This window comes from Homo sapiens, chromosome 3 (genome assembly GCF_000001405.40).
Source record: "Homo sapiens chromosome 3, GRCh38.p14 Primary Assembly".
In the NCBI taxonomy this organism is placed as follows: domain Eukaryota; kingdom Metazoa; phylum Chordata; class Mammalia; order Primates; family Hominidae; genus Homo; species Homo sapiens.
Window position 1 is genome coordinate 150,741,125 of NC_000003.12, and position 24,217 is coordinate 150,765,341.

A 24,217-nucleotide genomic window follows, 5' to 3' on the forward strand; every position below is an offset into this window, starting at 1 on the left:
TCCATTTTTGGAAAATATTTATTAAAAAACTAGTGAATGTGGCAGAAAAACAAAACCAACACACAGCTTTAAATAGCAAGCATATGACACACCGGTTATAAAGCTTTTCCAACTCTACTGATTTAGTCTTTCACACCAGCTACTGTTGAGGAGGGCTTCCGAGGGAAGCCACGTGTAAACGGGTCATCTGTACTAGTGGTGAGCAAAACTAATTACATGAGAACTATCAATGGCCATATGACTTGCTTTCCTAGGCAATCCACCCAAAACATAGGTGAGTGGCCAAATCTCAGGCGTGCGTTCATGTGGATCTATAGTTCTAGTTTTAATTTGAGGGTTGGGGGAAGTTAGGGGATGAAACAGTAGAAAGACAAACAGTATCGGCAGAGGGCAACCTTAAAGCACCTTTAAAATCTGGACCCTTTCCCACAATTTAACCCAGTAATTCTCAAACATTACTGTTGAAAAGAATCACCTGATGAGACTGTTAAATTGGCAGGCTCCCTAAATCTGCAATTTTAAGATAAGCACTCCGGGTGATTCAGTGTCTATTAGCCAGCCATCCAATTTCAGAAACACTGTTTAAAATGCATTAAAACAATTCCTACCTCCCACAAACAAAAGTAAAGGAATCTGCTGACAGTCACTGTGCTTTTGTCAATGTCAAGGGACCAATATGGGAAGGCAGGCAGGAAGGGGCCTCCCATTCCTAACACACTGATCTATAGAAGCCCTGTGCAACAGCCTGTCAAGTGTTGTTTAGGGAGTAAATACAATTCAATAAGAGTTGTTTTAGATCACAGAACAGCATCCAAATCACCAACAGGCCAACCCCATTCATCCCAGGTTAATGAACTTTGTTGGGTCGAAGCCAGATGGGACACTGCTGTTCAAACAAAACACGGGTAATTGTGGGTCCTGACTTGTGAAGACATATGGAATAAAACATCTATAAAAACCTTTATTAAACATAGAGCACTATGCCCAAATAATTTTGAAGGTTTACGAAAGTCACATCATGGACAACATGTAGAAATAGTAACATTGATTCCAAGGTTCCCATTATCTGCAAAAAGATGTGCTATGGCTGTGTCGAAAACAAGGCAGTCGCTGTTCATGATGGCCGCAGCCACACCGTCATGAATCGAACGGGGCGTGGCCTCCCAGGTCAATCTCCGCCGGTTCCCATTCAACTCCAGTCTGTAGGCAAAGTTCTCGGCTTGCTTGCGGGTGCCAATGAGCAGGACGATGGCAAAAAACTGCTGGTGGCCTTCGTACTTCTCTTGTTTCTCCAGCACCAGCATGAAGTGATGGCCAAAACATGACTGCATCATCACCCAGTCGACAGCCCCTGGCAAGTTAATGTCTGTAGCTAGAAAGACGATGTCTTCTCCCTGAAGGGTGGTAATGCTCTTGTGGGCGTGCATGAGATGGGACATCACAGCTTCCAGGGACCCCTGCCACTTGCAGGAAGCACCAGGACATGGGCAGGAGTAGGGACGGTATTCACATATGTCTTCATGTTCTGGTTTCTCCGTATGGTGCAGGGTCAGGGAACAGCCCGTGGTGGCATACTGCAAAGAAAGAAATGCATTGAGCCATTGGGCCTTCTCAAAACTTCTATTGCTTCAACCCTCTATGAGTACTTAACTACTCCATTTTCCTGGGCTTAAACTGTGTTCTTAACTACTTTTGCTCAAAGCAAGTGAAATATTCAAGACTAAAAGTCTCCGTCTCTATTCATCATCAATGCTGTCATGCATAAAATGAAGGGTATTTCCTGAACCAGAAATACGCTGTTTTCCATGCCCCCTGTTCCGCTGTCAAAGGGATCAGAACTAAAGTTCTCTTACTGTGCACATCTCAAAATTGTTGAGCAAGCCCTATAAAAGCTGGTCTTCCCCATATTTTCTGTGAAGCTGTTTTTTAAAGAATTCAATTGCTTGGGTGGTGGGGATGGGGTTGGGCAAGGAATATTATATTATCCCAAGATTAGTTTTCACATATAGACAATATTAACAACAGTATAATTCTGTCGTCCCCCTCCACTGCTTTCTGGCTCAAACTGGTGACTGGCAGGCAGGCCGTGGGGAAGGCTGCCCTTTGGTTCCTTGCTCTTTGCTGCTGGCATCACCAGGCTAGGGCAGCGGAGGCCTGGAGACCCCTTCATACAGCTAGAAATATTACCCCACTGCATCCTTTTGACCTTCCCTCTGGGGGGCTTTGCCCATATTTTTTGGGTGGAAGGAAATCACATCCAAGAGCTACTTAACTAACTCAGAAGACTACTGGTCAGTCTGGTTCTGGCCAGTAGAGGTTAACATGAGAAGGGCCTAACCCTCCTCTCAAAGCTTGCTGACCCCCAACACTTCCTCAGATTCAAGAGCACATCATTTCATGGTCAGGTATGTCAGGTCCTCACAACAGGCCCGGGAGGAAGCAGAACTAGACAAGTTTGCTGACATGATCAGTCTGCCCCTCAGACACTGCCTTAATAGGGTAGGAGAACAAAATCATTTTCTCCCTTGCACTTGGGATGACATTCCTAATGGATAAATCATACCTGCCGTGGCAAAAGACCACACCAAGAGGAACTGAACTTCTACTCCAGACTCTCACAAGGATGACAGTGTTAATTCCTAGATACCAGATGGAGATCAGCCCACAAGTAGACACCTGCCCTGAGTACTAAGCTGTTCTGTAAAGAATTAAGAAACCTGAATCACCTTTTCAGGTGAAACTAGGTGTCAGCCTTAGACCCCTGGAGCACAGAATGGCAGGGGAACTGTCTGGCTAACTACACTTGGATTCCCCTGCTCCACTGAGACATGAAGGCACCAAATAAGGGCAAGGCCAGGTCATTTTTCTAAGATGCTATGTCCAGTTGCTAAAAAAAAAAAAAAGCACCACTGCTGTTTTTGCTTCTCTCTACCCTGCTTTATAGAATAATCCCCCTTTTAAACTTGAAGTCGGTCAAATTCTAACCTTCATAGATGAATTTATCACTAGCAACAAGCAGATGGTATGCACTATGTGACTTCTCCATACAAGACGCTAAGTTACAGTCACTCAGAGGATTCCGAAGCAAGGATGACAGCCTCCACTCTCAGGGGGATTAGTCTCCCCTAATCGGAAAGGAGAGTGGCTTAAAGAAAGAAATGTAGCTCATCCTCCAACCCCCACTTCCCCATACCTAAGCGGATTATAATATTTAACAGAAATTGGCAGAAATATTTCAGTTACTTATTTGCCCATAGGAATTGTTTGTTCATCTTTTAAAACTCTGAACTAATTTCTAAAGCCTGGCTGTAAAAAAACTCACTCAGGAGAAACAAATTTATTTATCCATGTGTATTCATACTTTGTGTTCCTTACTTTATAAGGCCTGAAAAACAAATCCCTATTAACTGTGTTTTAAATCTAGGGTGTGGCTAGGAATACAGAGCCTCCTCATGTTCTTCTGTGAGTGATGGGTGAGACATTTCTGTCCAGTTTAAAAAAACACACACACACAATAAAAATAGCAAGAAATAGCCCAGAGCCTGGCAGAGTCTCGAAACAAGCTCTCAATATCTGAAGATGTTTCAAGACGAACTTTTCCCCATAGCTGCCCAGGAATGAGATGAACTTTGGCCAATGGCACCCAGAAAGGTACCAGCTGCACCTCTGCCCAAAGTCCCAAACCACTCCTCATTCATGACGAACTCAACATTTACAGCAAATATTTATCACTTGGCAATCATTTTATAACTTTCCCCACTCAAGTAGGAGTATTTATACTCTGAATTATTTGATTTGCCTTACAAATCACATATTCAACACTTCTTTCCACCCAAATATACAGAACAGGGAACCTCCCCAAACTGCACAAATAGAAAAGGCATTACTTTGCATTTGTGTGGACAACGATCTCATGTTTTTTCATAAGGATCTTGCTACATCCTCTATTAACTTAAATAAATAGTTTTAAAGCCTTAGGTGCTTACTCTGCTTTTACTGAACAAGCAGAACTTTCATGGCAATCTATCCCTTCTCTTTCCATCATGGGTAAGGTTCATGTCTTCATAACAACTGGTGCCACTTTTATGATGACTAAAGTCTAAATTTTAACCCCCTACACACACACACACACACACACACACACACACACACACCCCACATTTCATACTTCAAGCAGTTTTGGCATTGTTCTGGAATGGCATGTCAGAGCACCATGGGTGTTTTGTCACTTTCATCAGGGGCTCTCATCCAGGGATCCGAGGGAGGACTTTAGTAGTTTGTGAATTCCCCAAGACTGTATGTAAAACTGTCTAGGTGCTTCTGAGCAGCAAAGCCAAGTCTCACTGGCCCCTGGCCTTGGGCTTGTGTTTTCTTTTCTTTTTTTTTTTTGAGATGGAGTCTTGCTCTGTCACCCAAGCTGGAGTGCAGTGGCGCGATCTCGGTTCACTGCAAGCTCCGCCTCCCGGGTTCATGCCATTCTCCTGCCTCAGCCTCCCAAGTAGCTGGGACTACAGGTGCCTGCCACCACACCCAGCTAATTTTTTGTATTTTTAGTAGAGACGGGGTCTCACCGTGTTAGCCAGGATGGTCTCGATCTCCTGACCTCGTGATCCACCCGCCACGGCCTCCCAAAGTGCTGGGATTGCAGGCTTGAGCCACTGTGCCCAGCCTGGGCTTGTGTTTTCTTGAAGAGCTCCAAGGGTTTCTAAGAGTTTCCAGGGCTGAGAACCTCTATCCTAGAGCACACAGAAGGAATCAGCTGTGGATCCTGCCCTTGTGGTGTTTCCAGTTGAGAAAGACCATATAATAAATTTAACAACTATGTAAAGGAAGACCAGGAGGGCAACAGGTGATTTCAAGGTGGGACAGGGTGAGGAGGACATGGTAAGGAAAGCTTTATTGTAGACAAGTGGATTGTGGATGGAGTTGTTCCATCTGGTTCTAGCACAGGGTGAGTGGAGGAAACAGTGGGGATAAAACCTCAAGGAGGCCAGGCGCGCTGCTCACACCTGTAATCTCAGCACTTGGGTAGGCTGCGGCAGGTGGATCACTTGAGGTCAGGAGTTCAAGACCAGCCTGGCCAATATGGTGAAACCCTGTCACTACCAAAAAATATAAAAAATTAGCTGGGTGTGGTGGCATGCACCTGTAATCCCAGCTACTAGGAAGGCTGAGACAGGAGAATAACTTGAACCCAGGAGGAGGAGGTTGCAGTGAGCTGAGATCGTGCCACTGCATTGCAGCCTGGGCAACAGACTGAGACTCTGTCTCAAAAAACAAACAAACAAACAAACAAACAACCTAAAGGAGAAGGCAGGTGAGGGACCTTCCTGACAATGGAGTTTATTTTGAGTTTCTCGACAGTGGTGCTATTGACATTTTGGACCTGATAATTCGTTGTTGTGGGGGCTGTGCTGTGTACCGCAGGATGTTTAGCAGCATCCGTGGTCTCTATTCATTAGATGCCAATAGCAACCACCCCCTGCCCCTCAGTTGTGACAACCAGAAATGTCTCCAGCTCTCCAGGCATGGCCAAATGTCACGTAGGGGGCAAAATGGCCCCAGTTGAGAACCACTGACTCTGATAAGAACTACTCATTCCAATTCTCAAGAATGACAAAACCTGGCTTCCAAGCAGCCACTATCACAGTTGCAAGGAGCGGCCCATGCCAGCAAGCAGGTCCAGTAGGTCACTGGCCCACCCAATGAGCACTACCAGGGCAACTCAGGAATGCCAGCCTTGCCACACAATCAGAACATGATCGCTAGCAAAGCACGGAGTTAGACCAGGGAGTCCATTCTACCCGTTTTATTCACTAGAAGCTGGATGCTCCCAGAGTGTGGCTGACTGGTCAGGGCCCTGTGGTCATTTGTGGCTTCACAAGGAGCAGAGCCCTGCATTCCCAGGCTGCCCCGCCAGGGTTCTTTCACTGCACACAACAGCTCAGGAGTCAAAGAATCAATATTTTGGGAAAAATAAACAAATAATTTACATCTGCCTTCACCCCTGGCCACCAACCCAACACACATAAAACTCAGAGTCCACAGATACACTGCTTTTGGAAGCAGGTTCTAATATTAACTTCTTTGGTTTGCAAGGAGAGAAAAACAGCCCTGAAAGTGCCACTCCCTGAGGAATAACGCAGCAGCATCTCAAATCAGTAACCAGCCATTAGGCCCTCCCAGCCTTCTCTGGGATCTGGCAAGAAAGTCCTGAGGTTTCACTTCATACTCCAGCTAGGGCTTGCCCCACAAAATGTGAAAAGGTCAAGGACTTGTGCGTTTAAGCTGGGGAGGGCTTTCCTTTAGATGTCTGGTTCTTAGCTGTACCCTTTTGTTACTGAGAGAAGGCACCTGGGCTGGTTCGCAGAGGGCTGCCTGTGTCTCCTGGGACAAGCCCACAGCTATAAATGAGATTTCTCCTTAGGGAAATATCTGCTCATTTCCCCAGGGGGAATTAGTTTTAAGTAAACATCTCTAAAGAACACACACACACACACACTCTGAAAACTAAAGAAGAAAATAGGGAGGTAGGACCGGGCGCGATGGCTCACTTCTGTAATCCCAGAACTTTGGGAGGTTGAGTCGGGTGGATCACCTGAGGTCAGGAGTTCGAGACCAGCCTGGCCAACATGGTGAAACCCCATCTCTACTAAAAATACAAAAAACAAAAACAAAAACAAAAAAAAATTAGCCGGTTGTGGTGGTGGGCACCTGTAATCCCAGCTACCCGGGAGGCTAAGGCAGGAGAATCACTTGAACCTGGGAGGCAGAGGTTGCAGTGAGCCATGATTGTGCCACTGCACTCCAGTCTGGGCAACAGGAGCGAAACGCCATCTCAAAAAAAAAAAAAAAAAAAAAAATTGGGAGGTAGATGATGTCCCAGCAGAATGAGAAACAAAGAGATGTTGAAATCCCATTTCTAACTTCTCTTTACAAACTTTTCATGTTGCAGTGACTCAAAAGTCTTGTGCAGATGTGTTCTGCCATTGAGATGTGATGTGTAATCCGGACCCTCATTCTTAGATCTTTGCAGAAAGCAGCTAATAGTTCCCATTCTTTTCCTGGGTGTGGGGTTTGAAGGTTGTATTTAAGTTGGAATTTAGGCAGGGTTTTTCCCTTTTCAGCATAGAAACCCCTTCATACACAAATACACACAACAAGATACAGCAACACACAGTCAAACACAAGACACCTGTTATTTACCTAATAAACACAGTCACATTATGTTTACTTATGAAATGAGTATGCAAGCAAAATAAGCCTTCTTAGCCATGGTGCTAGTGAAGGTCATGGATGCTGTCACTGGTTTAGAACAAGTCACTTAACCTATTTAATTAAATCTGATTCCATGCAATTCAAGAATGATTTACTGAACCCAGCAATCAACAATCTACTCAATGGGAGCAGCATGTGCTCCACAGCAGAAGCATGGCTCTTTAGGGAACTGTGAGGTAACCACACTGCCTAGACCGGCTTACGTCCTAGGAAACAGCTGAAATTTATAGCAAAATACCTGCTAGCACCTCAAATGAGAATGTCTTAAGAAAAACAAACCACAATCGATATTTTGTTGTTGATGCTCATAAACTTTTGAATTAAATCTAAGAAATGACCTTGTCTTGGAGTTAAAAAAAGCAAATGGCACTTTCTTTCAACCTAAGTAAGTTGTAATGATCACAGAATGCATACTGATGGCTAAGTGCAATGCATAACTCTAGAATGAGAAACCAAAATTCCTATAAAGGACATTCATTACTGGGGCAAAAGCTGTAATTTGAATGTGCACTGTGGATTAGATAATAGGATCTGCTGTGTGTCAAATTTCCTGATTTTGATAACTGTGCTATGATTATATAAGAAAATGATTTTAGATGAAACACAATGAGGTATTTAGGGGTAAAGGGACAAGATGCCTGCAATTTACATTCAAATGGTTAAAAAAAAGTACGAGCAAAGACAGCACAAATGATAAAGCAACTGGAGCAAAAAGGAAATAACTGGTGAATCTGGATAAAGGCTATAAGGGAATTTTTAAATGCTATTATTGCAACTGCTGTGTAAGTATGAAATCATATCAAAATAAAAACATGGTCAGGCAAGGTGGCTCAAGCCTGTAATCCAAGCACTCTGGGAGGCCGAGATGAAGGGACTGCTTGAGCCCAGGAGTTCAAGACTAGCCTGGGCAACATAGGGAGACCCCTGTCTCTATAAAAAGTTAAAAAAAAAAAATAGCCAGGCCTTGTGGTGCACACGTGTAGTCCCGGCTACTAGGAGGGCAAAGGTGAGAGGATTGCTTGAGCCTGGGAGGTCAAGGCTCAGTGAGCCGTGATTGTACCACCGCCCTCCAGCCTGGGCAACAGACTGACAGACACCCTGTCTCAAAAATACATACATAAAAACATACTAAAGAATCCAGGGACCGAGTTAGCATATTTATCCTTTATGGGACAGAAATGGTTTATGCAGAATTGGTTGAATGAATTAAGTTTTATCATAATAGTGTTTGTTTTAAAAGAATATATACCTTTAACTACATAACTACATGTAAATGCAACTGAAGTTGGTAGTTTTTCTTTTACTAGAGGCTATTTGAGACTGTAGTGAACCAATACAATTTTGCAATGAGAAATGAATTGTCATAATAACCAACACTTCTTTGGCCCCTATAGAAGACAATGCATTCTCCATTGTCCTCTGATCCTTCTAAAGGTTTGCGGGTGCCTGACAAGTCTGTGGCCTTGGCATGTAGTTTCATTATTCACCACTCTCAGTGGTCCAAGGTAAACTCCACTTTGTTCTAGACCCATTTGAAAGATGAGCTCCAGGAATAAAATTTACTTAAGCCCCCTTTTTCTTTTGGGAGGTGAACCTGGAAGTGGGAAGAAGAGATATAGGAGCTCAACTGGAAGGATGAATTTCTGACAGTATAATTTATTATGTATGATTAGCAGATAATTAGGACTTGTGCAAATGGGAGTTGGCAGCTAAGCCTAGTATAGATCCACATCATGGTAAAAGTTACATTTTAACCATCAGTCAAACTTTTAAAAGGACTTCTAGCAATTCAAGCTAGCTGTTTTGTGATTTAAAATGTTTACCTGCCCCACAAAGACCACTGAATGATCACAGGTTATTTTCTAGTTAATTTACAGGTTTGTTAATTTTGCTTATTGGTTCACTGATTCATTGCCTGCTTCTTGCCCACCTAATATTTGTTGATGAATGAATAAATGTTAGATGTATCTGCCGAAGATGGAATGTTTTCCACCATGTTAATTTTACTTTAATTAGAAGTTTTACTGTGGGACTTAGAATTTAAAAAAAAATCAATAGATTTTGAGATCATGTAAGAAGAAATGTTTGTTTTAGATTTCAGGCACTATGGTTTTGTCATTTTTGATGAAAGTGTTTCACATATTTTATTTACATAACTATTTGGAGTGAGAAGATTTAAAAATTTTTTTTTTTATTGAAATGACGGGGTCTCACTTTGTTAGCCAGGGTAGTCATGAATTCCCGGCGTCAAGCAATCCTCTCACCTCAGTCTCCTAAAATGCTGGGATTAAAGATGTGAGCCACCATGCCTGGCAGTGAGAAGGTTTATAGCCTTTCTGAGATCTTACCTAGACTGGAAAACATGAGCACAGTTGTCCTTTTGATGGCTGTATGTTCCTCTTGCTTAAAATATGTTTACAACAATGGTAGAGTAGCTGTGATTGGAACTCAAGTAGCCAGTGTCCTGTGTGACCTGGAGCCTACCAAATCACCTATGAGTGGGTCTATAAAACTGTCTATGACTTCCTCCTTGACTATTATTAACAGTGGAAGAGTTGTAGACTCTTCAAGTTAATCATGTTAAGGCTTGGGAAACAGGAGAAAGTGAAATCTGTTCTTGTGACTTATTTATAATATTCAACCTGCATCTGTCTAGCATCCTTCCTCTAAGAACCTTAGCGTATTTTCCCTTAACTTGAATGGTAAATTCCTGAACTCTGCTGTGAGGCAGTGTGAAGAGATAATCAGGCCTGACACGGTGGCTCATGCCTGTAATCCTAGCACTTTGGCAGGCTGAGGCAGGCGGATTCCCTGAGCTCAGGAGTTCGAGACCAGCCTGGGCAACATGGTGAAACCCCATCTCTACTACAATACAAAAGAAATTAGCCGGGCGTGGCAGCATGTGCCTGTAGTCAGGAGGCTGAGGCAGGAGAATTGCTTGAACCCGGGAGGTGGAGGTTACAGTGAGCCGAGATTACGCCACTGAACTCCAGCCTGGGTGACAGAGAGAGACTCTGTCTCTTAAGAAAAAAAAAAGAGAGAGATATCATCAACCAATAGTGCAGTAACAGTTTTACAGACAGTGATAGGAGAAGACACTATTACTCAGCACTAGAACTGTCAAGTCAAACAGTGTCACCAAACAGTGGTGAGAGTAAGGAAACACTTACTGTTCACTTTACTAAATTTCTTCTGGGGAAGACAATTCTAATTAAAATCTTGGGCCCAAAAATCTGTCCTTTTTGCCTAAGAGAAAGTCAACAAACCACCTTTTAGCTTTCTTACTAAGAGGTGTCTTGGGAAGACTTTGGCATAAATTTCTTTTCTTTCTTTTTAAAAAGAGACAGGGTCCTGCTGTGTTGCCCAGGCTGATCTCAAACTCCTAGCCTCACGTGATCCTCCCATGTCAGCCTCTCGAAGTGTTGGGATTATAGGCATGAGCCACCACAACTGGCCTGGCATAATTATTACTGCAGAAATCTGAGAACACCCTGCTATCAAGGGAGGGTGTGTTTAGCCTTACAGAGACTCCCAGGGCTGGCAGGGGTTTATTTTTAATCTTAGAAACTTTAAACAAAGGTTGACTTTTGACCATGTATGTTTCTCATCTGTCCATAGCCAGAGTTAGCAGGTAACCACACATTGTCATGGAGAACCAGTTTTGTGAGGTCCTTTCAAAGTGCATGTTCAAGCAAACAAAACACTTAAAAGCTGAGTTAAAGGCTCTATGCCATGTGACCAGTACCACACCCACCCTTTCAGTATGCCCTCACTCTTCCATGCCAGGTTCCCACCTGCACAACCACATAACTGCCCTGACAGTTCTTCAAACAGCTCTATTCCCCTCAGCAGTCTTTATTTCTCAACGAAAGCAACTGAATTCACCAAAAGACTTAAGTGGTAGGGTTGTAAAATTATTAAATAGGCCAGGTGCAGTGGCTCACGCCTGTAATCCCAGCATTTTGGGAGGCCGAGGCAGGCGGATCACCTGAGGTCAGGAGTTCGAGAACAGTCTGGCCAACATGGCGAAGTCATGTCTTTACTGAAAATACAAAAATTATCCGGGCGTGATGGCATGAGCCTGAAATGCCAGCTAATCGGGAGGCTGAGGCATGAGAATCACTTGAACCCGGGCGGCAGAGGTTGCAGTGAGCCAAGATCGCACCACTGCACTCCAGCCTGGGCGACAGAGCGAGACTCCATCTCAGTATTAAAAAAAAAAAATTATCAAATAAAAATACAAGATGTCTCTCAGGCAATGTTTGGAATATACTTATTATTCTTCTCCGGCCCCGCAAGTTATTTGTTGTTTATCTGAAATTCAAATTTAACTGGGCACTCTGTATTTATCTGGCAACCCTAATAAGAGGACCTGCTGGTACCACTGCCATCCCTGCAAAAGCCACTCCTTGGGTCTAGAATGGGAAGAGGGATCACTGTTCCTCAGAAGGGTAGAGTGGGCACAGAAAAAGCAAGAGGTTGTAGTGAAAAAGACACTGTATATGTAATTAGTCCAGACTGGAGTTTCTGCCCCCAAACTTAAAAACTGCACGAGCATGGGTGCCTAGCTCGGGCCATCTATAAGCAAGGCAAGCAACATCCTTCACAAGCAACTTTGCTGGCCTCCCACACAGCCTCCTTATGAGCTTCCATCCCTTCTTTCTTCACAGGCAAACCGCTGCGCACCTTCAACATGCAGCTGGTGCCACCATGGCAGCAAGGTCTTCGGACTCCTTTCGGCTCCTAGTACTTCAGACGGGCTCTGCCCTATTGGCACATCTGTCTCCACCAGTAGACTTAGGAGAGTTTCAGAAAGACGAGAGGGGTGAGCAGAGGCAAGAACTGGCTAGGCAGATGGGTTGTGGGAAGGAGAGGGCCTGGAACTGCAGGAGATTCCAAGGCAAGAGTGAGTATGATGTAAAGTTGGTGGGGTCAGCAGCGGCCAACTCTGGCCTGACACTGCACCAGGGAGAAAAAGCAGGCTGTGGCATTAAGAAAACCAAAAGGTAACACCCAATGTCGGTGCTGCTGGGAAGAAATGGACATTCAACTGTAAACCATTCTAAGGGAGAAAACAATTTGGTTCTACTATCAAAAAGCTTCAATTTCTCAGGCCGGGTGTGGCGGCTCATGCCTGTAATCCTGCCACTTCAGGAAGCTGAAGCCGAATCACTTGAGCTCAGGTGTTCAAGACCAGCCTGGGCAACATGGTGAAACCCTGTTCCTACAAAAAATACAAACATTAGCCAAGCCTGATGGTGTGTGCCTGTAATCCCAGCCACTCAAGAGGCTAAGGTGGGAGGATCCCCTGAGCCCAGGAGGTTGAGGCTGCAGTGAGCTGTGATTATGCCACTGCACTCCAGCTTGGATGACAGAACTAGACCCTGTCTCGAAACAAAAAACAAAAAAAAAACACTGAGATTTCTGCATATACCCTTGGGCTCTACCATCCAACTTCAAGGAATTTAACTTTAGGAAATAACTATATTTTTGTGTACAAAGATTTGGTTATAGCAGTGCTTTAAAAAAAAAATCTCAGTAAGAAAAGAGAATTTAAATGACCACAAATAGGAGCCTGATTAAATAACTCTGGTACTGTTATAGAACTGCAATATGTGGCCATTAAATATGATCCTAAAGAATATTTATCACTGTAGAAAAGCAGTCACGATGTGTTAGATAAAGAATGTGTTAGATAAAGAAGCAGATTATGAAACAGTGTAGACAATAGGATTCCTCACCTGTATTGTTCTATTCTCAAATTGCTACAAAGAAATACTTGAGACTGAGTAAGTTATAAAGAAAAGAGGTTTAATTGGCTCACGGTTCTGCAAGCTGTACAGGAAGCATAGTGGCTTCTGCTTCTAGGGAGGCCTCAGAAAGCTTCCAATCATGGTGGAAGGCAAAGGGGGAGTGAGGCATCTCACATGGCAAGAGCAGGAGCAAGGGTGGGAGAGGTGCTTCACACTTCTTAAATAACCAGATCTCATAAGACTCACTATCATGAGAACAGCACCAAGAGGATAGTGCTAAGCCATTCATGAGAAATCCACCCCCAAGATCCAACCACCTGCCCCAGGCCCCACCTCCAACATTGGGGATTACAATTGAACATGAGACTTGATGGGGACATAGACCCAAACCATATCACCATCTCACTTGTTTTGTTTTTGTTTTTGTTTTTAAAGAAAAACTCCACCGATGTAGAAATAAGTTTGCAAGGATGTATGCAAAATGGTATAGTGGTTATCTTTAGGTGAGGGAGATTATAGGAGATTTTAATTTTATACTATTTTCTATATGTTCTACATTTAAAAATAATCATAACTTTAGAAAACATAATATGTAAAAATACACAAAATATAATACATATAATTTAAAATGCTGCTTAATCTAACCAGTTTTCCCTCTCAAAAAATTTAAAGAAATGAAAAAAAATCCTCATCACTGAAAAACCAATACAAGGGCCAACTTACACAGCTCTATGAAAATGCTATATGATTAAGAGTAGGGAAGGGAAGCTCATTGGGAAAATCTATGGGAAAAAATAGGAATGATTCCTTTTTTTCAAGTTTATGCATGAACCTGACCTCAGACATCGGCCATTTAGTTTCTGTTAGCTTCTAACTGAGCACATTTATTTAGTGCCTGGGCTGTGTCAGGCACTTTGCATGAATTATTAGTGTGTTTGGTCCTCAAGGCAACCTTGAGGCTTGGAGAGGTCACCAGCCAGTCACAGTGGGGCTGGAGTTGGGATTTGGACCAGGCCAGATGAGGGGCTGCCCTCAAAACTGCCAGAGTTAGAGGGATCCTGGGGGTAAAAGGGACCCAAAGATACTATCTTTGCTGATTCAAAATTTTAAAGCAGTGCATAGGCCGGCGCATTAGCAAAAGAATATTTTTCTTTTTCTTTTCTTCCCTTTTTTTTTTTTTTTTTTTTTTTTTTGAGACAGGGTCTCACTCTGTCACCCAGGCTGGAGGGTATTGGCAAGATCTCAGCTCACTGCAGCCTGGACCTCCTGGGCTCAAGCGATCCTCCCACCTCAGCCCTCTGAGTAGCTGGGAGTATAGACACGAGCCACCATGCCCAGCTAATTTTTGTATTTATTTATTTATTTTTTTTATTTTTTGAGACGGAGTTTCACTCTTGTTGCCCAGGCTGGAGTGCAATGGTGCGATCTCAGCTCACCACAACCTCCGCCTCCTGGGTTCAAGTGATTCTCCTGCCTCTCAGCCTCCCAAGTAGCTGGGATTACAGGCATGCGCCACCACGCCTGGCTAATTTTTTATTTTTAGTAGAGACAGGGTTACTCCATGTTGGTCAGGCTGGTCTCGAACTCCCAATCTCAGGTGATCTGCCCGCCTCGGCCTCCCAAGTGTTGGGATTACAGGTGTGAGCCACTGTGCCTGGCACAAATTTTGTATTTTTAGTAGAGACGGGGTTTCACCATGGTGGTCAGGCTGGTCTTGAACTCCTGACCTCATGATCTGCCCTCCTCAGCCTCCCAAAATGCTGGGATTACAGGCATGAGCCACCACACCTGACCAGGAATATTTTTCATCCATCTGTATATCACCTGTGGGCAAAAACTGAGAACAGGAAAACCCTTTTATTCCATAGATGCTACACAGTCTAAAAATCATTACATAAAATCTTTACCAAACTGGAAATGAGGAAAACAACAGTTTTGCAATCTAGGGCAAAGCTGATGAAATTCTGTAGAGCATTTCAGTATCCTTCATCAGCCTTAAAAGGATACCCCGAATCTTAAAATAAAGATACATTTGATCAGGAAGACTTTCTTATTTTCCTTTTCAGGATGTCCAGCGTGGAACCACATTCAAATACCCTGTGTATGATCATGTCCTGAAAAACTCGCCAGCAATACACAGTGGCTCCAAATGCTGGCACTGGTACACAGTTTAGCAAATGTGTATCTGCTACGTGCCCCTTTCAAGGAGTGAGGACCTTATGGGTTTGAATAAGAACGGCCATGTCTCACAAATTTTGTCAGAAGCAAAATCTGATGCTTAAGACATTTTACAGTGAAGCCTCACTATATTCATGTATACAGTACTTTTTAATGGGGCTTCAAAAAACAGCTCTACCACAGAACGGGAGAGTCTATCCCAATCTTGGGCTGGTATTTTATAGGCCAGACCTGCTGTAACTTTTGGTAAGCCTCTGTTCTGGTTATACTAAGGCTCAACTTTCACTGATAACTATTTACTCTAGTTCCAGGTCATGGTGACCTGTGAAAAATCTTTGGCCAGTTATGTGTGGAATTACCATTAAGCTTAAGTACTGCCATATAGTATTCTAATGCTTCTGCTTTATACAAAAAGTAAACTACAACGAAAGGTGTATTATCAATTTTGTTCTTTAAAATCTTGAGCCCCGGAGTTAATGTATGTGGACTCTGGTCCTTGCCAGTTCACTCTGTGCTTTTATGGGCCAACCTTGCCCATGTCAGGCAGTAGTGAGGACTTCAGGGACAACTTCCAAAGTAAATAGTTTTGTGTTAGGAGAATTCTGGGGGTTAGGAAGAAATTTTTGAAAGTATTTTTGGCTAATCGGCTTGTGCTTCCTGCTTCCAGGTGATCCCCCATTGCAACCTTCCAACCACCCCAATACCCCCCATATTCCATTCCATATGGTGAAGCAAAAGCCCTCAACAGCACTTCTAATCTGATTTCCAAGCACCCACTAACTAGGCGTCATCTCCGTTCTTTCTAATGGATGAACAAACAGGGTCAGGGAAGTATGTGACTGGACCAAAGTCACACAAAGCCAGGACGAGAACCCAGGTCTTCTGTTTCCTGGCTCACGTTCTTTTCACTGGGACCGCTTACTATATTTTAAAATTTTAGGGTAAGAAAGAACCTTGGGATAATCATTTAGTCCAATCCCTTCTCTTAAAGACCCTCAGGTGCAAAAAAGAAACTGACCTGTATAGAGTCAAACATCTAGTCACAAGGCCATCATCTGAGGGTTCCTGATGGCCAGAAAATAATATTCTCTTGGCAAAATGAAGATGAAAAGAAAACAAGCTACAAAATCACCAACAGTTAGGGCCTAACAGAGTTCCAAAGTTCATGTATGGCAAGAGTTAAATGAGAACTTCCAGGCTCAAGGAATGCTTCTACAAGAGAATCAGATCAGAGGCTGCATGCTGGCAGCTGGAATTTGGCCTGGAGACGTGGTGGTTCGCTTTGTCTGCAAGTGGTGGTTATACATGTGAAGTCAGCCAATGCTAGAAAAAAAATCGAGATATTTAACATAAAAAAAAAATCCAGGCTGGGCACGGTGGCTCACACTTGTAATCCCAGCACTTTGGGGGGCCGAGATAGGAGGATTGCTTGAGCTCAGGAGTATCAAGACCAGCCTGGGCAACATAGTGAGATGACATCTCTTAAAGGAAAAAAAAAAGATCCAGATTTCTGGCTTTTCTTGAAAAAAATCTAAAGGTCTGATATGCCTGTACCCACATCCCCAACCCCACCAATCAGCCAGAGGTGAGTAAAGGCTGCCTCTTGGGAGGTGGCACCTGTTCTCTGGCTCTCCACCATCTCCACTGCTCCTCCAGGTCTCCCTGACCCTGAGGCCATGAGTGCATCAAATACTTCTCTCCTCTCCTCTCCTCTCATTACATGGCCCTCCTCCCATTTAGAAAGTTTGTCTCCACTGAACTAGATGAGGCCAAGGGATTTTAAACTTTCAACTGTTTTGTCTAACCTTACTTGGTTTTATGTTATTTTTTATTTTTTTAAGGAACACAGACATTGTCACAATTCAACCACAGAGAAGACTTGTCCAGCTGAGGCTTTCAAATTCAATAATTATTTGGAGATATGCTACTAGAAACTTTCAGAGAGGACAAAGAAAAGGTATCATTACAGTGTAAGAAGGCTGGAGTGGATTAGCATTGCTCACAGTTGTAGAGAGAAATACTTGGCTGATATCAAAATACATCGTTGGATGGTAAAGTAGACTATGTTGTTGATATGAATGTGTCAACCTTCACTTCTCCCCCTAAACCCACACACTGAAGGGGTGAGTTTAAGTCTGGGCACAGGATGTCAAAAGTTCTCAGGCATGGAACAAGCCACAGAATGGATTAAAAAATACCCCAAGCGGAAGAAAGCCATACACTATTAGACATTCCATTTTTTTTTTTTTTTTTTTGACACAGAGTCTTGCTCTGTCACCCAGGCTGGAGTGCAGTGGCACAATCTCAGCTCACTGCAACCTCCACCTCCTGGGTTCAAGCGATTCTCCTGCCGCAGCCTCCTGAGTAGCTGGGATTACAGGTGCCTGCCACCACACCTGGCTATTTTTTTTTTTTTTTTTTTTAATGAGACTGAGTTTCACTCTTGTTGCCCAGGCTGGAATGCAATGACGTGATCTTGGCTCACTGCAACCTCTGCCTCCCGGGTTCAAGCAATTCTCCTGCCTCAGTCTCCTGAGTAGCTGATATTACAGGCATGTGCCACCATGCCCAGCTAACTTTTTTGTATTTTTAGTAGAAACGGGGTTTCTCCATGTTGGTCAGGCTGGTCTCAAACTCCTGACCTCAGGTGATCCACCCACCTCAGCCTCCCAAAGTGCTGGGATTACAGACGTGAGCCACTGCGCCTGGCCCTAATTTTTGTATTTTTAGTAGAGACAGGGTTTCACTATGTTGTCCAGGCTGGTCTCGAACTCCTGACCTCAGGTGATCTGCTCACCTCTGCCTCCCAAAGTGCTGGGATTACAGGCATGAGTCACCACACCCAAAGATCTGAGCTAATAATGCATCCGGTTCCCCATATCAAAGGTGCTGGCAACACTCTAGCCTTTAATTAATTACCCTAAACCTAAGTGGGATAGTTATTTGGCAATACATCCATTTTTTTGCCAACTGAAGCAGTCCAGAGCTGTGATGATACCCCACAAAATACTAGGTTTGTAGGTTTCCCCCACCCTCCCATCTTCCTACCCTACATGCCCTACAAAATTCCTGCCAATGAATTTCATAGTGAGTATGTATGTTGTCATTTTGGGATGGTCCCATAAGAGGCCCATCTGGTGAACTCATCCAACCAGACGGTTTTGTTACTGGTGTCAACCTTGAGTTATGATTCAGAATCTTGAGTATACACTCAGATTCGAAATCCCTACGTAGTAAGGTGTAGGACAAAACATCTGTGCCTTTGAGATGCAGGTGCTTGGACTGGTCCTCTTACTAGCTGTGTGATTTGACAAGTCACTTCACATTTAACCACTCTGTAGGCATGAGTTTCCTCATCTGAAAAAAAAAAAAGGCAAACTAGTAAAAGCTGACCCCTGCAAAGTAACTGGCAGATAGAGGGCATCCAATAACATTCCAGATAGCCTCCCTTCTTTTCATAGAATGCTAGAAGCTACAGGTCCTTAGAAGTCAAGCAGATTCATCTCTCATTTGTATAGATGAGGAAATCAAGGCCCTGGGAGGTGGTCTTTCAGGCAAACAGTGGCAGCTCTTGAGATGTGGGCTCTGGTACTTTATTCAACGTTGGTTTTTTTCACATGAGCCAGCCCATGAGAGATTCTGAGAGCAGGTGGGGACAGTAAAAAGGCAGTCCCATAATTTCTAGGAGCCTCAAACTGTAGGCCAAAGGGCTAGGTAAACAGATCTGCCTTGTTTTAAGTTTGATACAGGCCTTACGGCTCTCTGTTGTTTCTCATCCTCTACAACTAACACATCTTGGTTGGTCGCTGGGCCTATGTATACATTCAAGTTTGGTTTATCCAGACTAACTGGCTGAGCTGCCCTGCCAATAGTTTGGATTATTGATCAACCAAAGGTGAGGGACACACACCCCAGCTTTATACAACTCACACACATGCACACACAAAAGCATCCCCAAGATCACATCCTAAGCTTGGTTCTTGGTCTGCAGGGGAATAATTGGCCCTTTTAAATTTCAGCTTGCAAAGTAATAGCTTTACCCCACTGCATTCTTATAGAATAGAGACTCAGAAAACCACTGACATGTACAGAAAGGCTGAGAACCCCTGATTCCCAGAACTACTCTTCAAGGTTGATTTCAGTAGCCTGTTTCACGTTAGGAAAGAACGTATGCTTTCATAGGAACCAGAGTTCTAGATCCTGAAAGTGAAACTTCATGCTCCATATAGCATAACTGTTTCCTTCCCTTTCTCTTGGGAACAACACAATTCTATTATGGTTACATTTTAAAAACAAATTATGGATTACTGACTAATATCAAATGCTCATTTGTGAACTAAAACTCACCTAAAAGCCATTTCTTTTGTTAGCCGCTGCGCGTTTAAGGGAAAGTAAAGGGGTGAGAAAATGGCTCCCCAGAAATCCTATGGGGCATCCCCCACCCCTGCAATATATCTCAAGCATCAAATAGCCACTCTATGTTAACTACCACCAAACCTTTTCCAACCACTAGGTTGTCACCTTTTTCACAACCCTAAGACAACTATGCAAATACTTTATCTAAATTTTGAGAAACTGGGCTGAGTGAATTAGTAAGCACTATATGAGGAGGGGTTAACAGCAATTTATTAAGGTTGCCTGAAACACCCTAGTCCAAACACCGATTCAAACTCTTATTTAAATATGCTATTTTAAACCTGATTTGCAGCAGGGCAGCAGACCAAATTAAAGCACTCATTTTACTGACCTGAGTCCCAAGCCTGAATTCTCTGGTGGATTATTTTTAATTTAAAAATGAGCTCTTGTCCTATAAAATAAGCAGCACCAAGGAGAAATGCAAGACAGCTTAAATGGCCCAAGAGGCAGCGCAAGTTACTTTTACAAAAAAACTGGAAAGTATTAGTGACATTATCTCCACTTCTAATTTCAGAAAATGACTTTACAGTATACTTCTAGGTTATAACGTAGACAAGTATGTCTGTGAAACTGCTCCTGAAGGTTTCCACGTAATAGCTGCAGGTAAACAAATGTTATAATATGACCACACAATGCAATACTATGCAGCCATTTAAAATACAATGAAGTCGACTAGGTTTCAGGCATAGAGAAATATGTGTGATAATATGAATTTAAGAACAGCAAGTTGCAGATGCCATTTTTGGAGAAAAACTTACATCTATGTGTGGGTATTAAAAAACCTCCCTGACATACACTGACATCTATGATTCTATATTTAGCTGCGAGGGTGTATGTATATATAGTTTAAAAAGATACACACTAAACCTAACAATGGTGGGAAAGGAGGGGAGAGATCTTGGTCTTTCATTTTACTTCTTGTCTTGGTGGCTTGCATTTTTCGCAAGGGCATTGAAAACTTTTTACATTAAATAAAAAATGAAGTGATGAGCTTTAAACAACTGTAACAACAGCTCTTGAGTGCCCTTGTTAATTTCTTGATTGACTGTTTTCACCCCACTTAGTACAACAACGCAGCCACAACTCCTCAGTCCTTCCCAGTCTTTGGAAGGCTAGGAGAGAAAAAGGCGTGGCTTGCAGGGTTTTCTTCTAGCTAGAGGAAAACAGGCTGTAGGCGCCCTTTTTTTAGCTACAATCCCGAGAGCTCCCACGTGTCAGGGGTGCGCAGACGGTAGGCGCGGGGTGCAGGACTCCAATTATCAATTCAGCCGAGCCCAGCGCTGGTAAAGGGGGCGTTTAGCTCGCCCGTTTCCTCCCTCCTCAATCCCCACACAGTCAGTTTCTCGGTCCAAGTTTTACTGGTGCGGCCCAGCCCTACCGAGAGTACCCGAATACACGTCTGCAGAGGACGCGGGCATTGGGCCGGGTGAGCTACGATGTTCTAACGATCAGCAAATGCCAATTAATCTGTTAATTGTCTATTAACAATTATTACTCGGTAAATGTCAACCCAGACCTACACCCAAAGTGGGCTTGAGGGAGGGTGGACGAAGTGTAAACATTTTTTCTTTTTTTTTTTTAAATGAGAGATGCCGCCCGCCTCTCCGGGCCTGCGAGTGGGCTGGCGGATACCGGAGTCCCTGAGGTCACCGGCGGAGGTACGTGGGCTGTCCCTGGGCTTACCTTACAGGGAAACAGGACTGCCGAGGCCACCTTCTCCATAGCCAGGTTCCTGATGCTGGGCGTCAGGGCGCCCCTGCACGTCGGGCAGCAGCTCAACTTCTGGCGGCATTGGTTACACACCAGGTGCCCGGCCTGGCACTGCAGAATAGGAGGCAGGACATAGTCAAAGCAGACCGGACACTCGAAGAGCGAGGTCAGCTCGTGGTGCTGCGGGGACACCGGGCCGGCCCCGCCGCCGCCGCCGGGGCCCGAGATCACCGCCGCCGCGGCGGGCACCGCGGACGAGCCGGGGCCCGCAGCCGAGATGGTGGCGGCGGCCGGGGGCGCAGCCGGGGACGGAGTGTGCTGGGGCTGCGGCGGCGGCTGCTTGCTGCAGGGTTTATTAGCGCTGGGGCCGGTGGAGGACGGGCGGCTCATCGCGCTCCGAACCAACCATGGAACTGCGGGCGCCTGCCTGCCGCGGGGCCGCCCGGGTCAAGGCGGTGCGCGCCCCGCGGGCAGCGAGCTCCGAGGCAACGCCACGGCGCCCAGCCCAGGTCCGGGCGGCGGAGACGCTCGGCGCCCGGCAGGCGGAGGGCTGGACCGCGCTGATGCACTCCGCAGCCCCCGGCGTTCCGAGCACGCCTCCGCGTCGGACCCCGCGCGGTGCCCTCCTCCCGGCGGCGTCCCGGGCCCCGAACCCCAGCGGTGCGCAGAGCCCTGGCCCACCCGCTTCTGGAACAGCCGCTGACGCAAGCCCCGGGGGCGCGCGCGGACGTGACGCCTGGACACGTGTGCGGCCGCCCAGGCGCGCGGGGACTGGCAGAGCCACCCTGCGCCGGGGCGCTGGCTCCGCCCGGCTCCAGCTGGCAGCGCAGGGGGCCGCCTAGCGCCGGCGCTTCCTGCTCGGGCTGCGGGCCGGGCCTGCGCCAGTGAGCATGCCTGGCTCGCTGCAGCCCCGCGGGGTTGTCTTTTCTGGGTTGAGGAGGGGGGCTACTCTCGGGGAAGCGTCGCCGAAGTCCTCTGGCCACACCCCGGGGTGCCTGGCTGACGCGTCCCTCAGCTCAAACGAGAAAGGCAACTTCAGGCGGGGCGGGAGCGTGGACGGTGGGTGGGACCGGACGCGGGCGGGCAGGGGCGGGGCGCGGGCGCCCCTGCACTAGTCGGAAAAAACCGAGAGGTTTCTCTTCTCAGGGCTGAGTCACCAGCACGCAGGAGAAGAGGGCGAAGCGGCCACCCGCGTTCTGTGTTCGGAGTCAGGACGAGAAGCATTGGGTGGGAGCAGGGCGAGGGGCTCGAGTTGGGTCTGCAGCGGGCACAGGACCTAGTTTTGTACAGTTAACGGTGGGGTTGAGTAAAGAGGGGGGCGGTGGGGAGGATGTAAGCTCCCTTTATTCCTTTCCCAGCGGACCAGGAGGAAGCTTCGTTGAATTGAGCGCCCCTGGCTCGTATAGCAGGCCGAGGAGGGAGCTCATGGGCAGCGTTGGCTAAGAGTTCGAGATCATCTAGAAATGTCAGAAACGTAGGTTGGGTCGTGAGGTCTCTGAAGACAGTGGGTGAAACTCCAGTGTAAGGCGCTGCGTCCGCTTGGTAGAGAGCCGGCCGAAGTCCGAGTCTTTGTTGCGAGGCGTAGGGCCACCCTGCGCGCCCAGCAGAAGCGCTAGAGGGCACGGTTGCCCGGGGTGAACCGCATGTCCAAATGTAACTGTGTGCTCCGAGTTAAAATTGTTTTTCTGCAGACTTTGCTTGAGCCAACGATTCCGGAATTGGGGAAAGGGTTACCTTAGGTAGAAATCGGAAATTTATAGGAGACACAGAGGTAAGGACCAACTGTTAGGACTGAGTGAAAAATGGTTCCCTCCAACTGTAAAAGTGGAAAAAAAAATACCTATCTTATAGGTGGGGCAGTGAGGAGTAAATGAGTTTAATATATTTCAAGCTTTTAAAACAACCTCGCCCATCATAAGCACTGTTTAAACATTAGCTCTTATCTTTTAAAAATATTAGTGGATGTTTAAAATGAATGAATACAATTTGTCCAAGAAATATGGCGTAAGAGCCCAGAAGAAATAAAGTTTAATCTTACAAAGGGCTTCTGTAGAAAGAATACATGCATGGAATTGATGGAATTTGGTATAAATCTTGAAAAAACTTAATAGGTGTATTCAATCGTTCAGTAAATGTTTCCTGAGCATTTATCATGTGTCAGCTACTGTTGGAGCTCTGAGAATGGTTCTCATGCAGTTTACATTCTAGTAAGAGAGCAAGGCCCAATAACCAAGCACTCGTGGGAGAAGAAGGATTTCAGATACCACGGGGTGGGCAGGCATTATAGCAGGAGCTAAAAAGCACAGAGTGAAAGCATGTATTCTGGGATTGCATTGGGACTTGGAGGGGATATAACGGGAGTGTAGGGGTGTGGCGTTAGCACAAGGGGAGCCTCAACTGGCTTAATAAGACATTTACCTCAATGATAGGGGTAAACCACTGTAGGGTTTTGTTTGTTTTTTTAAGAACACACAACAACACTAGGTTTTGTAGGTTTTTGGAAGCTCTTTAGTAACATGGCTGAACCTGAGTTTTTGGATAGGTAGGGAGCATAAAATAATAACTAATGTTAATTGAGTGCCCACTGTATGTTGGGCATGGATAGTTTTAAGTATTTATCATAACTCTCTGTGATGAATACTACTGTTATCTCCATTTTACAGTTGAGGAAACCGAGACATAGGTTACTTTGCTCAAGATCACACAGCTGAGAATGTGGGAACACGCTAGGAGCCCTTCTTAACTACTAGTCTGTATGCCTCTAAATTATGCCTGATTCCTACTTACAGTCTTGTTAAACAGTTAAGATTAGCACACTCAACAGAGTCAGAAAACAGTTGTTCAGCCTATAATAAAGCACTAAATTTTGTGGGCAAACTTTA

At 45.1% G+C, this 24,217-nt stretch overlaps 1 protein-coding gene and 1 long non-coding RNA gene across 3 annotated transcripts in view, besides 6 other annotated features; one reads left to right on the top strand and one right to left on the bottom strand.

Moving 5' to 3' along the window:
- SIAH2 (siah E3 ubiquitin protein ligase 2) lies at positions 1-22,045 on the bottom strand. Its single transcript, NM_005067.7, has 2 exons — positions 21,309-22,045; positions 1-1,574 (listed from the first exon to the last, which is right to left on the bottom strand). The coding sequence occupies exons 1-2, from the start codon at positions 21,723-21,725 to the stop codon at positions 1,017-1,019; spliced, it is 975 nt and encodes a 324-aa protein (NP_005058.3). The 5' UTR covers positions 21,726-22,045; the 3' UTR covers positions 1-1,016.
- Positions 18,306-18,365: an enhancer, noted in NCBI's record as "active region_20697". NCBI's record gives its function as "activates an Ori minimal core promoter by ATAC-STARR-seq in GM12878 lymphoblastoid cells {active_cell/tissue: GM12878}" and the evidence as "EXISTENCE:reporter gene assay evidence [ECO:0000049][PMID:35858748]".
- Positions 19,600-19,699: an enhancer, noted in NCBI's record as "active region_20698". NCBI's record gives its function as "activates an Ori minimal core promoter by ATAC-STARR-seq in GM12878 lymphoblastoid cells {active_cell/tissue: GM12878}" and the evidence as "EXISTENCE:reporter gene assay evidence [ECO:0000049][PMID:35858748]".
- SIAH2-AS1 (SIAH2 and CLRN1 antisense RNA 1) overlaps positions 20,813-24,217 on the top strand; it is a 6,739-nt gene continuing 3,334 nt past the window's right edge. The window contains exons 1-2 of one of the 2 annotated variants that reach the window (NR_187305.1): positions 20,813-21,051; positions 21,213-21,283. This is a non-coding gene — a long non-coding RNA (SIAH2 and CLRN1 antisense RNA 1). The remainder of the gene's footprint in view (positions 21,052-21,212; positions 21,284-24,217) is intronic. The other variant, NR_187306.1, reaches the window with a different exon arrangement.
- Positions 21,516-22,462: an enhancer, noted in NCBI's record as "H3K27ac-H3K4me1 hESC enhancer chr3:150480427-150481373 (GRCh37/hg19 assembly coordinates)". NCBI's record gives its function as "activates a minimal SCP1, AML or CMV promoter by ChIP-STARR-seq in naive H9 embryonic stem cells {active_cell/tissue: H9 hESC(naive)}" and the evidence as "EXISTENCE:reporter gene assay evidence [ECO:0000049][PMID:30033119]".
- Positions 21,516-22,470: a biological region, named in NCBI's record as "H3K27ac-H3K4me1 hESC enhancer GRCh37_chr3:150480427-150481373".
- Positions 21,571-22,470: a silencer, noted in NCBI's record as "silent region_14818". NCBI's record gives its function as "represses an Ori minimal core promoter by ATAC-STARR-seq in GM12878 lymphoblastoid cells {active_cell/tissue: GM12878}" and the evidence as "EXISTENCE:reporter gene assay evidence [ECO:0000049][PMID:35858748]".
- Positions 22,981-23,040: an enhancer, noted in NCBI's record as "active region_20699". NCBI's record gives its function as "activates an Ori minimal core promoter by ATAC-STARR-seq in GM12878 lymphoblastoid cells {active_cell/tissue: GM12878}" and the evidence as "EXISTENCE:reporter gene assay evidence [ECO:0000049][PMID:35858748]".